A 12,769-nucleotide genomic window follows, 5' to 3' on the forward strand; every position below is an offset into this window, starting at 1 on the left:
ACTCCACTCCCCATAACCTTGATGTTTCGTTTTGTTTTTGTTTTTGAGACAGGGTCTTGCTTTGTCACCTAGGCTGGAGTGTAGTGGTACAGTCATAGCTAACTGCAGCCTTGATCTCCTCAGCTTAAGCAATCCTTCTACCTCAGCCTCTCAAGTAGCTGGGATTACAGGCACGTGCCACCACACTCAGCTGATTTTTTTTTTATTTTTAGTGGAGATGAAGTCTTGCTATATTCCCAGGCTGGTCTCAAACTCCTGAGCTGAAGCAGTCCTCTTGCCTGGGCCTCCCTAAGTGCTGGGATTACAGACTTGAGCCACTGCGCCCAGCCCACTCTGAATTGTTTTATAGCCATTCCCAAATGTTAATGAAAGTCCAAATTGGGGGAAAAAGAGTTCCTGCAGAAAATGATAGTGTATATTTACATATACATGTCTTTTCTGTGTCTCTTCACTTTGGTAATTAATATAATTGTGGATCTTTGACATTGATTTTAGATTACTTAATAAAGAATGTATTTAAGTGTAGTGCAGAATAGATTATCTTTAATGTTTGCAAAAAGTGGTACACTGTTTAGTAATATTTAGGTAAAATGGTAAGATTGCCAGTGTAATGGGCAGGTTATATGTCTGGAAATAGGCTCAGCAGGAAGTTAAAGGAATCATGGCCTATACTGCTGACAGAAGATACACAACATGCACTATGAAACCCACTATTCAGTCTGGGCCCTCTTTTAAACATTTACTAGAAGCCTGTAGATATGGTTGGTAACTCCAGTGTACATAGTAGAATTTATGTGCGTATTTAGGAATTTCTATGAGAAACTTCCACATAAAAAGATTTTGTGCAAGATTCATGCTTACAATAAACAGTAAAGGAACAGTTTTGGTTCTGGAAAACCTAGATAAGCGTTTATTATCTTACATTAAATAAGAAATTGACAAACGTATGTTTAGGTAAATATGGTATAGATGTTTAGGAGACAAAAATGATGAATGAAAATACAATAATAATAAGGAATTTTAGAACTTCAGTTATTGCCTCACAAATTTATTAAGTGAATGAAAAATCTAGGAATTTAAATGGTTTTTAGAGTCTTTGCATAAAATGATTTTTGGCTGAAAAAAATGTCATCTCTGTCTCTCTGAACAGTGGTAGTCACATGAAATGACACAGTGAAAAGATCCAGAATTGTCTCAGCCAACTCCCAGCCTCAGTTGTACCACCAAAGACTTACCTCACGTGGGCTGTAAGGAGTAAAAATGTAGTAATATGTTTTCTAAAGTAATAAAATGGCCAAATGTATGGGGCTAACTATACTAAGGAATAGATAAAACCATAGGATAACAATGGCACTGTGTTACTCAGTGGTAAAATAATTAAACCTATTTATAGTAAAAGCAAGAACATGTTCTAGAGTCAAACGTAAATTTTGTATACGTTTTTAAGATAACTATATGACATTAAAAGAAGTTGATGGTTAGGGCATAAAGGTTACCTGTTGTTCACCCTCCTTGAATGTTCCAGGTACCTTTGGCTGAACAGTTTGAGAGGCCTTGAGGAGCCTCAGAGATAATATCCAAGGGAGAAAAGTCAGTGATCCATGTACATTTATCACTGCATATCTCTTAATATCTTTTTTCCCCTTGCTCAAGCGATTGTTTTACATTTCTAAATGATGTAGAGCATCAGTAGGGTGCTTAGGTTAGCCTTTGAATAACAAGCTTCTTTTCACACCATAGGTTTCATGATCAAAAATCAGCACTGGGATGTCTGCTTGCACTATTCCCAGGTTTGCTTCCTTGGTTCTTCATATCATCCAGACCCCTGAACTGGAAATATCTTGTTAACTCTGCACTGTTTAATATTCTTTGGAAATTAAACTACTTGGGCATGTTTAGAGCTCAAATGGAATCTATGCATTTTGCTTGACAAGGTCGTTGGTTGCTTTTTAGAGCTTACATATTGAAAATCATGTTTGCAGTCAGCTGATAGAGAAATTTCCGTGTATCAAAGCATTGTTGTGATGAAACCACCTCTGTTGTGAAGATCACCTGAAATAATGTGTGTGAGAGCCCTGTGGAAACCAAAAAGTGCTGTGGGCATTTGAACACTAGACTGTTATGATTAGTGATGAACAGCATCTCAGCCTGCCAAGGGAGAACATGAAACTAGAGAACAAATTTGGTTCCAGGAGCAAGGGGAAATGTAATGTGGAATCTCACAGTTTGGGGTTTGTAATTGGGATCTGTTGCTATTATAAGAAAATGTAGTTCAAAAGACACAGGATTTTCTGTTGTTAAAATCAATGAAGTTAAAAGAGCAGCTGCTTGTAAAAGTTAATTTTATTTGACATCTGCCTTGGTCCCAGTAATAAAAGTGATAGTTCTGTTGAACAACCTGTTCTCTTTAAAGCTATATCTTTTTGTTGCTGTGAGGTCTGTTTAAATAAATTGTTGCCTTTTGATTTTTAAAAAAAATTTTCCTGATCTATAAATTGTTTATCTCTTAGAATACATATATAAGCATAACCTATTCATCTTTAATTTACTAGACAAGTGTTGGCATTCTAGATTTTGAGTTGGCACTCTTGGGAGTTATAAAATGCAGTAGGAGCCATCTCAAATCTTGTATGAAATGAGGAGAATGCAAAGACATTTTGAAAAATATTCCCTATTTATTTTCCATTAAAATAAACGTAAATTTGGTTCTTTGTCATTTTACATAATAAATAATATTTATCTCTTTGTCATTTGTAAGTAATAAATGCCACTGCCCTAATACCACTGTAAGAGAATACTATTCTGGTTCTTTGAATAGGCAATATTAAATGAAAAGAAGGGACCTAAATTGTACTGATTACCTGTCTTGGATTTCTTGATATTGTCATTCCTCTTGAGTTTTTGTAAGGAAGCTGAAGTGAGTGGTAGAGGGTAAAAACACCAGAGAACAAAATTGAGCAATATTTTCCAAGTGAGCATTTTTTTCCTGTCATTTTTATGTGTTTTAATTTCGCCAGTGTTGGGTGAACAGTTCAGAGAAGGGATTCATTATTTTAAAATGAAGCCACCCTCTTGTTCTTCATTTTCAACAGATTGGGCCACCTTTGCTTTTAAAATGTCTGTTGACTCTTTAAGAACCATTTACCATATTTGCTTACGTATTTACCTCCTTGTGTATTCTTGTTCCCTCCCTTCATGCTCATCATTTGAAAAAGAAAATCATGAAAAATATGTTCTTCCTACAGGCCCTTTTCAATCCTTTCAAACAATTCTACTTCAAAATAGCAATTGGCTAACAGCAGAATATCCTTTAGGGGGTTTTAAGAGCAACAGTCAGCTTCATAGCTGGAGGCAGAGGAACATTTTTTCACAAAGTGAAATTCATTTATTCTAGGTGTACAACAAGAGTTATAGGAGCTACTGGTTATGCTTTCTAACTAATCTATAATTGCTTAAAATCAATGTTACACAACTTCAAGTCTATCGGCAAAATTTCTTGTTCCAGCTAAGAATGGCACATGCCCGACAGATATCTCTAATCTCCCATTCCTTATCCAGAGCAGACATTTCAATATGTACTGTTTCCTGGATGTGGCTTGTAACTGATGGCATTTAGGACATACTTCTTGGCATTTGAGGGAACAACAGAAACAAGGTCATTCTCACCTTCTCCTGGCTCCTTCTCTTCTGAAGCAGGCCATAAACCCTAGCCGACCTCCTCCTGAGGTAGGTTATAAAACCTTCATTAGAGATGTGCCCTTCCTAAACCTGTCTTATATCTGAAGACACAGGGACAAAGAGAAGATTCTGAACAAACAGGACTTGCTAAGTTCCCCCCAGTTAATTACCATTAGACTATACCCTTTGGTCCTTCAGTCATACTTCTGCACAACTGTCCATAAAAAACACACGTTTCCCTTTTTCTTTCGGTCTTCATTTCTGAAGGCTCCCATATCACATAAAACTTAAATTTGTATGTTTTACTCTTGTTAATCTGTCTTTTGTTATAGGACTCTCAGTCATGAACCTAGTGATGGGAAAGAAAGATAATACTTTTTCTTCTCTACAGAATGAACCCTCAACAGTGCTCTAATGAGCTACTAGTTAATGACAGTTGGACATCCCTGTTTTATGCATATAATATGGGAAGGTTTAGCCAGTTCATGGCTTTATCTGCTACTTATTTGCTGATAACACTTAAATCTAAATGTAAATCTCTCCTGGTCTCTACATCCATATATATTTAGTTACCTCTTAGTTAGTTGAAAGCACCTCAAATTCAGCATGCCTAAAATGAAACTTACAATTTTCCTTCATTTCCCACCTTCCTCTTCTGTAGCCACTGTCTTGCAGCTGATAGAGCTGTCTACCTATCTGCATGTCCTCTCCATCTTCCCCTTCTCTGATAGTCAGTTCTGTGGAGCATACCTTTACATATTTCTTATGTACATGTCTTCCTTTCTGTCCCTACTGCCTCTGCCATAATTTGGCTCTTCATCTTGGATCCCTAGATCACTGCATGTGCCACCCTTTTGACCTCTTTGCCTCTAGTTTAGTTTGCCCTCCTCCAAGCCGTTCCTCACCCTGCTAGAAAATAAGTCAGTTTTCACTCTCTGCCTCTCTTGAACTATTGCAAACACAAATGTATGCAAAATAGTAGAACATTCGTGTATTTACCTCTAGGAATTAACCAGTGTCAACATATTGTCAACCTAAAATAATCAAAAGGGTCAGAGTCTAGTTGAAAGAAGGTTTACTCAAGCAAAAAGTTTGGACTAGCCATACGGGAAACACAGACTGCAAAGAATGGAAGGCAGTGTTCCAAAGTGTAAAAGCATAGGATTGCTTATATAGACAAAACGTAGGGAAGTTTAACACAATTTCAACATCTTTCTATGTTAGGCTTAATGCATACTTACAATGATTTGATTAGTTAAGGCGGTCTTTTTCTTTCTGGAAAGATATTTAACATTCCACATTGAAGATGTAACTGTCATGGAGTCTTGGGTGCCATCTGGTCTGAGTTAGGTAAGGACAATAAAGAATGCCAGTTAATCTGTAACAAAGGTCAGTGATTGGAAGCAGGGAGGTTTGGTCTCTCCTAGTTATTTACAGAACCAATACAATGAAAAGAGAGATAAGCTAAAGTCTAAGAAACAGAATTGCAAACATGTTAAGTGATTCAGTCTCCAGAGCTTTACTTCTTCCTTGGCATAAATTTAGAGGGTTGTATGTGCTTCAGAACTTTCTTGGATTGAATCCAAGGAAAGGATGAGAATATCTCTGATAAAACCAAAGCTTTCACTGTCCCTAGTCTCCTTTCCTCTTGCTTTTCCTAGGTGCAACCAAAATTGCTTCCTACCCCACTTGTTAAAAAGTGTTATTGAATAGAGAATGTAATTCTAACAATTACCTTTTCCATCCTGATCAAGTTTATTTTTAGCTATATTAAGCAAATCTAATTTAAGAGGGAAGTCTAAAAAGAAAAAATATTTTCTGTTTGCTTTACTCTTGAAAAGATATGACATCCAGATTTTTCTATATTTGAGTGGATTTACCTTATAATTACTATTGGATTTCAGTTTTTTTTTCTTTTTTTGGAGACAGAGTTTTGCTCTTGTCAGCCAGGCTGGACTGCAGTGGTGTGATCTCTGCTCACTACAACCTCTGCCTCCTGGGTTCAAGCGATTATCCTGCCTCAGCCTCCTGAGTAGCTGGGATTACAGGCGCCCGCCACCAAGCCGAGCTAGTTTTTGTATTTTTAGTAGAGACGGGATTTCACCATGTTGTCCAGGCTGGTTTCAAACTCCTGACCTCAGGTGATCCACTCGCCTCAGCCTCCCAAAGTTCTGGGAATACAGGCATGAGCCACTGTGCCTGGCTGGATTTCAGTGTTTTTAAAACTTTATGTCCTTTTTATGTGGGGTGTTTTGAGACAGATATTTTGGACTCTCTTTCAAAATAACTAACCTACCAGGAGCTACAAGTTATTTATTTAGCAATAATATCTTGAAAGGTGTTTAAACACACACTTTTATTTTAGCATTGTGATTTAAATAACAAGGCTATTTCTTTACATTGGTCTGAGTCTTATTTGAATACAGTCATATTTACACTGTCTGTTCCTTAGTTACTTTATATAAATTTTTGAAGCAGTCTCAGTCTTGGCTGGTTAGGTTTTTTTGTTCTTTTAAATGGCTGTTCACTGTAAACGACTTTGAACTTTGTGTGTTTGAAATTTTTAATAATGTTGGGAAAATATATATTCAGCCAATATTTCTGCTTTATTTCTAACAATCAATTGGTGACCCAACCCCCTCCACCAAAAACCAGAGAGACATAGATTAGAAGGAAGGAACTATGTCATGGTCACTCTTTTGGTAGTGACTGTTATAGTATATTTTAAGAAATAAAAGTAAAATTTTAAGCCCCCCAGCCAAGGGAACCCTAGAGAAACCTTGGAAGTTGAGTTCCCAGCCATGATGGAATGGGAGGTCAGACATGCCTCATTATGCCCCATCTCTTGCTAACTGCCATTAGGCTAAACAGAAATGAGCCCTCAGGAAAGACTCATTCCATCCCTGATATCAACCAACCACCTGATGCTCACCCTTCCCTTTGCAGTTTCCACACAACAGTTTACCAACATTCCCTCCTGACAAGAGACTACTAACTACAGAGTGGTTCAGGCCAGTCTATGGAGGATGCGCAGTGAGGGTTTTCATGTTCTCTGCTTCACTATCCGATGCCGGAAAGCTCCACCTTTGGATCATGCTAATGCCGCGATTTTTTTACACGTGACTCATGAAGGGACGTGAACCTTAATTGCATGTGTGCATGCTTCTCCTCTCATAAATATTCATGACTCCTCCTATAGCTTATTAAATATGTGTATTTGGCTACCCTGTTCAGCATAAATTCCTATTTCCTTTGCTCCTCCCTCGAAGTGTCTGTTTCTGGCTTCCGGGCAGAGGCTACACTTCCTAGTCTATCAGAATGGCCATCCGGCAGGCTGCAACCCTTTATGAGAAATAAAGCTTCTCCTTCCAGATTTATGAACCTCATCCTTTTTCAGTTGACAATCCATAATTTGAGTTTTGGACTGCTAGTTTTGGGCTACTTGTTTCTTTTGAACCAGGAGGTCACAGTTTCAACTACATTGCAGGGTAGTGCACTTGCCCTCATTTTAACAGAAGGTCTTGGATATTCCATTTAGCTGGAAATGAAAAGAGAAACGCGTATGACTCCTCTCCTTGATAGGACATATTTACTAATGAAAACAATTAGAAATACAAGACCAAAAGGATCAGTGTCTAGGGCAGACTTTTCTAAACCTATGCCTCTGTTGGAAATATTTCAGATGGGTAAACCTTACATTCACTCTACAAAACTTAGTGAGTACATATTGCATGCCATACCATGTGCTGTTCTAAGCAGTCGGGGGAAAGTGATGACAAGATGGAAGAGGTTCCTGCCCTGACAGAGCCTATATTCTTGTGATGAGAGAAAGACACAGTAAGAAAATTAATCAGATAATTTCAGATAGTGATAAATGTTGTGAGGTACCTGAGTAATGGTTAGAATACCCTGCTGCTTTACGAAGAGTTAGGGAATACCTACTGCTTTACCAAACCTTTGTTGGGAAAGTATAGATTTAGTCAATATTTCTGCTTTATTTCTAACAATCATTTAGTGACCCAGCCCCCTCCACCAAAAATCAGAGAGACATAGATTAGAAGGAAGGAACTATGGCTGGGTGCAGTGGCTCACGTGTACGATCCCAGCACTTTGGGAGGCCAAGGCGGGTGGATCACTTGAGGTCAGAAGTTCGAGACCAGCCTGGACAACATGGTGAAACCCCATCTCTATTAAAAATACAGAAATTAGCTGGGCATGGTGGCACACACCTGTAATCCTAGCTACTCAGGAGGCTGAGGCAGGAGAATTGCTTGAATGCGGGAGGCGGAGGTTGGAGGTTGCAGTGGGCCAAGATCACACCACTGCACTCCAGCCTGGGTGACAAAGCAAGGCTCTGTCTTAAAAAAAAAAAGAAGGAACTATGTTGTGGTCAATCTTTTGGTGGTGCGTGTTATAGTATATCTTGAGAAATAAAATTCTAAACCCTTGGTAAAGCATCAGTTACCCTTTACCAAAGGTTAGGGAAGGCCTCTGTGAGGAGGTGATATTTGAGCCAAATCCCAAATGATGTGAAGAAATTTTCCATGAAAAAATTTGGGAATCTTGAAGACTAAAAATCTGTGAGGTAAAGTGAATCTTGAAAAGTGCTGTCCTGTTTTGAGGGGTGAGGGACTCAAAGGAGACAGAAGTGCTCTGAGATTAGGTGAAGGCTTCTGGCCATGCCAGCAACTAGTTGCTTGTGGCCTGAGGAACCTGCTTTCCTCATGCATAAAATGACAAAGTTGGATCAGGCACCTCCAGACTCCCTTTTGTCTCTTGTACTTTGAACGTATTTGACATTTATTGGCATTTTTCTTTATTTTTATAATTTACAAGGGTACAAGTGTAGTTTTGTTACATGGATATATTGTGTAGTGGTGAAGTCTAGAGTAACCACCTGATTTATTGGCATTTAATGGAGGATTATTAGTTGGTAAAATGCATTATTTTTGTAACCAGATAGATGTCAAAGGGCAAAATTTACCCAGTAATACTAATTTTTAAAATGAGATTTATATAAGAGTTAGTTATCTGTTAACACTTGTCTAAAAACAGTGGAAACTGTATTGGTTAATTCAGTGTGCTAATATAGTTTTAATAATGAAAGGACATCTTAACTCACCCCTAACCTTTCAACGATAATGAGAAATAGGCTATAAGTTATGCCAAATTCTATGATGGTTCCCATGAAATAGCCCAAACTTAAACAACTCGTTTAGGCTTTGCAGATGCAAACTGTGATAGATCTTCCTTCTCTTTCATTCTTGGTGATTTATGTGTCCGGTACATTGTTGTGTTTTCTATAAAAAGAAAAAAAATTAAAACATAGTTGGAAGCCAAAGTCGATTTAACCTGGATAGATATAGCTTTCTAGTTGTAGAGGAAATGCTAAAAATCTCATTGTGACAGTGTATTGCTTTCTTGGAAGGCTTGATAATTGTTACTTAGTTTAGTTTTGATTTATACTTAGTTTTGCTCAAAGCAGGAATTTGAAAAGCTTTATGAAACATAGACATATACTTTCATTTTTATCAATTAATGAAATTACATACTTGCTAAACTAAACATCTGTTGTGTTGCAAGTGCTAGGGATGCAGTTACCACTCACAGTCCAGTGGATGTAAGTAGTAACTACGTTAGCTCAGAGAAAAATTTCAGAAGAAATGGAGCCAACAGTTCCTAAAATGAAGTTTGAATTCTGTCAGCAAAAGGTTAGCAGATGGGTTTGCCACTTTAAAGAGCTTTGGAATAGCTTTATTACTTCATATCCTTAACATGAAGAGATGCATGCTCTTTTTGTAAGCGCTAATTGTTTTAAAAGTTGAAAAGAAAACCTTTGGAAAACTCAAAAATCTTCCTTGAAATAATTTTACTCAGAGCATTGGCCTCTCCCTGGTTTAGGAATCATTCTTGCCAGAGATTCAATCTCGAAAGTAAGTTGGAGGTGGGAAGGGGAGGTTGGGAAAACTCAAATCATCAAGCACATGTGTTCCAGAAAACTGGAGCTATGGAAAATTTCTACCTGATGTGCTGTCATTGTGTTTTGTGGAATTGGCAGAAGCTGTATAGCCAATCATTCTGTGCCTATTGTTTCAGTAATGCCACCTAAAAGGAAAATTTTAAGAAAATGTCTGATGAAAGACTGATGTAATAACTTTACCCTGGGAGCCAGAGGGAATTACTAGATGATTTTAATTAGGGGTGTGGTTAACTTTCATTTTGAAAATTTCACTCTGACCTTGGTATAAATTAGGGAAGGGGCAAGAATGGCAGCAGAAACAACAGTGGAGATGTATTAATAGTTTAGGGAAAAGGAAATGAAGACTGAAATTAAGATGAAGGGGTAGATTTGAAAATCTTTCCTATATGGACTTAACAGATGTCTAGAATATTTTGCTGTTACTGAGTTGTTTTTTGTTTGCCTCTATTAGAAAGCATACTATATAGATTGACAGAAGTGACTGAAAAAGCCCACTCTGTCTGCTCTGTTTTCAGAGAACTGACTTTTGAAATGTCTAGATAAATCATTTAAATCGTTTTAGAACACAGCTTTGGTTCTGAGACATGAAATCTCTTGAACAATGAAAATGGCATTTTGTAACAGGATTTGACATTAACAGATAAAGGATGTATTAAAGTATTAAAGTGTTTTGTTTATAGAATTTGATAACCTTGATAACATCTTATATGTTACATATAGGTTACTTAGTATTTTTTTAATACTTAGTACTTAGTATTTTAATACTTAGTATTTTTCAGGGATACTGAAAGTCTTGATTGTGCTAAAATTGTAGCAGATTAATTGTCTCACTTTATTGTATTTTAAATTAGTAACTGTCGACGTGTTGACTCTTGTACAAAATTGGGAAAGCTTCTCCATTATTATCAGAATATGGCACTTTGGTCAACTTTTTTTCAAAAATATAAAAGATATTTTTAGATGATAGTTTTATTTGCATAATATAAAAATTAGATTTGATGAATTAAATGTCTGTTTTCCATTTTTAGGAAATTGTAATTAATGTTTGAAAAAAATTAAAAAGAGAGGATACACTATATAAACCCAAAGGATATCTTTCAGTTTGTTGCTTGTCTTAAGGTTCTTTTTTGTGAATTGTTAAATGATTGATTAGTAAAATATGAGAACCATTTTGATCATAATTGAATCTTGAAGACATTTATCTTTTATTTTTGTTTTGATGTTTTATTAAGTTTACCTCAAGCTATCTGATTACTTTGAATGAATGTCTTTAATTTCCTTGTGTCAAATTCTTATAAAAAGGTATTCTCTTAAGAACAGAGAAGAAAATAGAGATACATAGATATATAATTAATATTATTGTAATAAAATAGATCATAAATTCATATTTTGATGATATGCTGTCAAGTTGGTACACAGTATTGGCTCTGACTTCTTATTTCCTAGCTCAATTTGAGGTCATATTTCAATATTAAATACTTTGAGTTGCTTCTGTATACTTAAAAGATATCCTTGGTTCCTTATAGTCATGTGGCTGACAGAATAAAGTACATACACTTCTGTATGTAACCAGTTTCACAGTGGCTTAGCTATAAATCAGAATTTATCTTCCCAATTTATTCATCATCTTAGGACTCAGTACTACAAGATTGGTTATTATACAATTTTACATTTAGAAGTTTTTCCATTTTTATTTACAAAGATAATAGTCTCATAAGTGAATGCTTTTTCATGAACTCAGGACACTCCCTTTTACTCTCTGTTTTGCTCACCTTTTTCTTTACTTTTAAACTTAGTGACATACCCTATGTCCTTAGAACCATGTAGCCAGCTTTGATCACGTAATGTGTGAGGTTTTTATATAATTTCTTGATTTGAAAAAAGAGAAATAGAACCTTATATTTTTAAGTATTGCCTCCCTATCTGCCCTTCAGCTCGTTTTACATTTAGTATTCAAATATGTTCGGTGTTCGGCCTTTGCTGTTTTTACTAATTTTCTTCCCTGCTTTTAGTTAACAGCCAGGTCCTTGCCTGCTGTGCAGTCTGATGAAAGACTTCAGCCTCTGCTCAATCACCTCAGGTAATATAAGGGCACAGCCTTGTTATGCTTATAAATCCAAGTGCAGTAAAGTGAATAAAGTATATTAAAGTGGTGAAACCCCTTCAATTACTAAAAACTTATTTTTTTTTTCTTGCTTTCATTCCATTATTCAAATTGAAGTTCTTAATACCATGTACTTGTTACCCTTACTTTATTTAGGGCACTGTAGAAAGCTCTTTTAATTCAACAACAGTGTGCTGAACTGCTTGATAAGTTTAAGTTAAATGAGTAGAGATAATTAACTTTACAGAAAGATCTCAAATGAATGAGCTATTTACGTAAATACAAGGTTAAGGCATACTTTTATTGAGGATAGATGAGTTAGATGGAGTTTGTTTCTAAATACAAAAATAATATAGTCTCATTATTTAAAAAATAAAGTTAGAAAATACAGGAAAGGAAAAGGAAAAACCTATCATTACTACTCAGAAATAATGTTTATCCTTTCTATGTTTTTTAATTTTAATTTTTTATTTTTTGAGATGGAATCTTGCTCTGTCGCCCAGGCTAGAGTGCAGTGGTGCGATCTCCGCTCACTGCAACCTCTGCCTCCCAGATTCAAACAATTCTTGTGCCTCAGCTTCCCAAGTAGCTAGGATTACAGGTGTGGGGCACCTCGCCTGTTTCATTTTTGTTTTTTTAGTAGAGACAGGGTTTCGCCATATTGGCCAGACTGGTCTCGAACTCCTGACCTCAGGTGATCCACCTGCCTCAGCCTCCCAAAGTGCTGGGATTACAGGCATAAGCCACCGCACCCTGCCCTTTCTGTGTTTTTGTTGTTGTTGTCGTTGTTGTTTTTTACTTAGTGTTGAAATTATAGTTTATGTGACTATTTTTTCCATTTTTATAAATATTGTAATATTTTTTCCCTTAGTATTAAAATCTGTCTAAAAACATTATTGTTAGTGACTACATTATATTTTCTTGTATATCTGTACTATAGCATATTTATCTCCCTTTGGGAAGCTTTAGACCATTTCCAGTTTTTTATTCCTTCTATAAAATAATGC

General features: G+C 36.3%; 1 protein-coding gene across 7 annotated transcripts in view; it reads left to right on the forward strand.

Annotated features, from left to right (window-relative positions):
• Positions 1-12,769, forward strand: part of PRIM2 (DNA primase subunit 2) — a 425,311-nt gene that overhangs the window by 274,177 nt on the left and 138,365 nt on the right. For 6 of the 7 annotated variants that reach the window (XM_047418987.1, NM_000947.5, XM_047418988.1 and 3 more), the window contains one exon: positions 11,671-11,738. The exons of the other annotated variant lie outside the window; for it this stretch is intronic. In XM_047418987.1, coding sequence (XP_047274943.1) covers positions 11,671-11,738 — 68 coding nt within the window. The remainder of the gene's footprint in view (positions 1-11,670; positions 11,739-12,769) is intronic. 7 annotated transcript variants of the gene reach the window in all.

The sequence above is a fragment of the Homo sapiens genome, chromosome 6 (assembly GCF_000001405.40).
Source record: "Homo sapiens chromosome 6, GRCh38.p14 Primary Assembly".
Classification (NCBI taxonomy): domain Eukaryota; kingdom Metazoa; phylum Chordata; class Mammalia; order Primates; family Hominidae; genus Homo; species Homo sapiens.